Source organism: Homo sapiens, chromosome 17 (genome assembly GCF_000001405.40).
Source record: "Homo sapiens chromosome 17, GRCh38.p14 Primary Assembly".
NCBI classification, from domain to species: domain Eukaryota; kingdom Metazoa; phylum Chordata; class Mammalia; order Primates; family Hominidae; genus Homo; species Homo sapiens.
Window position 1 is genome coordinate 22,297,353 of NC_000017.11, and position 3,143 is coordinate 22,300,495.

The window sequence follows — 3,143 nt, forward strand, 5'->3', positions numbered from 1 at the left end:
TGATGTTGGATGAGAACGCTGAGTGTGCAAGCAAAATATCATTTTTTAACTAAGGGCCCAATAGTGTCTTAAATATGCAGAGCTGAGTCTGCAGGTGGAGAGTGATGGGTTTGTTCAAAACGTGGTATAGAGTGGCCTTGGGTCTCACCTGCCTGCCCTTCCATCCTGTGCCCTCCCAGTGAGGCACCCAAGCCCCACCTTAGGGCACACCCCTTCACAGGGCCACATAGGCCCCAGTCCTCACCTATGTGGTCATCTCCAAATGGCACAGCAACACCTTCTGTCCAGGCCCAGGCCAGGGTCCCAGTATCTCCAGGGGGGCCTGGCATCCAGGCATCTGTTGAGAACTGGCCCAATGTTGGGGTCTGGGCTAGCCTGTGGGACCTGGATGTTGGGGGGCAGCTGCATGAGGACTCATGCCTGGCTTTATGTGTAGCACCAGGAAAGGCACTTTAATCGTATTCATTTATTGCTCACAAAACCTCTGAGGTGGGTGCCTTCCCCACGTCACAGATGGGAATGACAAGAAATAATAAGGTTAAAGAGCATGCTCATGGTTGAAACCTGGTCAGGAACTCAGAACTGGAGTCTATAGACCCCTACCTGTGACCTCTGTGGCCGGAGGACCCTCTCTCACCGGGTTTGTGTTTGCAGCATGTCCTGTCCTTCCCTAAGGGTCTCAGGTTCTGAGGCATGGTGAGGGCTGCTGGAGCCCATCACTGAGCTGCAGAAGGAGATACTAACGCTGGCCATGCCACCCTCCAGGCAGGCACAACTGGAGTTGAAAATCGAGATGGGGCAGGGCTGCCAGGAACAGAGGGAGGCAGGTGGAGAATAACTCACCAGGGAGGGGTTTCCCTGCTACAGCTTTCCAGGGCCATTTCCACTTTCTGGGTGGCATTTTGGGGCAGCTCACACAGTACACCCACATAGCCAGTCCCCAGGGTCACAATCCCCAGATGTTGTTCATCTTGGTGACAGGCCCTGTGCTTCTCCAGGACCGTTTGTGTATGGGCCCTTCCCAGGTAAGCGTGATACGTCCTGGCTGTCCTCAGTCCAGGGCACTGCCAGCATTTTCCTTTCTGGTCAGGGTCAAAGCTTTGTTGACCATCTCCAGGATACGATGGCCAGCTGGCCCTTGGAGAGCCAGTCACTCCAGGTGACACGGTTTGGTACTGGACGTCCGCGGTCCCCTCTCCCACGCCGCCCCATACTGGGCCCCGTATCCAGCCGCCACCGCTGCTGCAGCAAGAACCGCCCCACTGCCTCCGCGCAGCTGCCATTGTTTAAAGGGACCTCAGCCTGACTTCCAGGAGCTACGCAAGACTTGGCCAAGTCAATGCGCATGCGCAAGGAGAGAGCCGCTTCTCCCCATCACAGCGATTCCCAGGGTTGTCGTAGAAACCACTCCCTGAGGCTTCGCAAAGCAGGAGCCCTCCGTAGCAGGGCTTCGGTGTCGGGGCTCCGAGGCTCCGGCCTGACTTCTCCACGGGGTACACAGGAACGTCTCCGGACGCCAGGACCTGAAATGGGCCGACTAGGATGACGAAACCACAGGCAGAGTCCGGGGAAGCAGCGCGGCATCCCATCTTCAGGCCTGCCCGGAGGGTGTTCGGGTGAGTCTCCCCAAAAGTCGTGCCCCCGTGATCTGGAGGACAGGTCTGCCTGTGTGTCCGTGGGCTGCTCTCTCACCCGAGTGTCGTTCGCGTGGAGAGCAGAACCCTGCAGCCTCAAGGGTTGCCTGCCGGCTGAGGTGGGGGTGCTTCCATGACACCGCTGTATGACTGTGTGCGTGTGTGTGTGTGTGTGTGTGTGTGTGTGTCCCATTCTCTTCTCTCTCGCTATCACTCTCTATTTCTTTCCCTCTCTCTGTCGGTTTGTATGTGTGTGTGTGTGTGCCCTTGTGCGTGTGTGTGTTTGGACGAATGTGCCCCGTGCACCAGAAAGCAATTTCTTGCATGTCAGTCGGTCTTTGGTGAGCCTTTTTCGGCGTCTCTCCCTGGGTCCTGTGGCCAGTTGTCCATCGTTTTCCTGTCGGTTCCACTTTGGGTTTGTGAAGGCCTCGACAACGTGAGGAGATGCGTCGATCCCCGAGCAATTGAAATCTCATCCCTATCCTGAGTGGCCTCTTTTCTAGGATCAAGATGACCACACTCCAGCCAAGGATAAAAGCCCCACAGGAGCTCACTGTCCTGCAGGAGAGGAGCAGGCCCACGTCCAAGAAGATGGCTGTATGTTTTCACGGCTCTTCTCTGAGAAGTGAAGCCACACCACGATACAGTCTTGAAGAGGAAGCCAGGAATGGGAGATGGCAACAAGCCCTGTCATGGTGGCCTCTCTGAACAAGTTACCCTTTTGGCACCCCTCCCCTTATGCCCGTGGCGGTGGCACAGTGCTGTATCCTGCCTGGGCTCTGGCCCCTGCTCTGTCCTCCCTCTTACTCTGTCTCCCTTGTTTCTGAGGGGCCTAGATGCTTCTAGGTCTGGCTGAATGTCTTCAAAAAAGATCACTTCCCAGTCCATCAGGGAGACAGTTGGTGGACATCCTTGTCATGATTGTGTCTCTCTCCAAACCTGTTTCTGCTTGATTGGGCAGGTTTGATGACCCTGGAGCTCTTAGCTTTCATATGTGTCTCAGACAGGGAAGCTACCTTGGTCTCCATGTTTCACCTCATGGGTAGTGGATTGCCTAGAAGCAATGGTAAGCGACCATGACTGGCCTTTTCTTCTATGACGGGCGCGGTGTCGCATTTCCTCTGCATCTCCTGTCTCATTCTTGAGGGATGTCCTCTCCTCTGCTCCTGGGTGGACTGACTCCCTGAATCTTTTGGCCCCCTCCTGGATTCCAGGTGTTCTTTGATTTTGCTTGGCATTGATGGAAAGGTCACTTGTACCCCCCTTCAGTTGGGCACATGCCTGGACACCATTGCTTGTTTCGCCATCACCCCATATGCCCTCGGTGACACACATCCACACCATCTGCTCTGGGATACACCAGTGCCACGCGTGGTCGCCTTGGTTCCACCTCGGAATCGCCCCGTCCCTGTTTGCATGTGTCCTGGAAAGCAGTATCAGCTTGCAGGAGCCCCAGGGCTTTTAGAAGCGGGGCAGGCCACTGCTCTTCCAAAGGAGGAGGGAGGCAGA

General features: G+C 55.8%; 1 long non-coding RNA gene across 1 annotated transcript; it reads left to right on the forward strand.

The window, feature by feature from the left end:
- Nucleotides 1-1,411: 1,411 nt before the first annotated feature.
- Nucleotides 1,412-2,541, forward strand: FAM27E5 (family with sequence similarity E5). Its single transcript, NR_028336.1, has 2 exons — nt 1,412-1,616; nt 2,138-2,541. It is a non-coding gene; the product is annotated as a family with sequence similarity E5 (long non-coding RNA).
- The last annotated feature ends 602 nt before the right edge of the window (nt 2,542-3,143 follow it).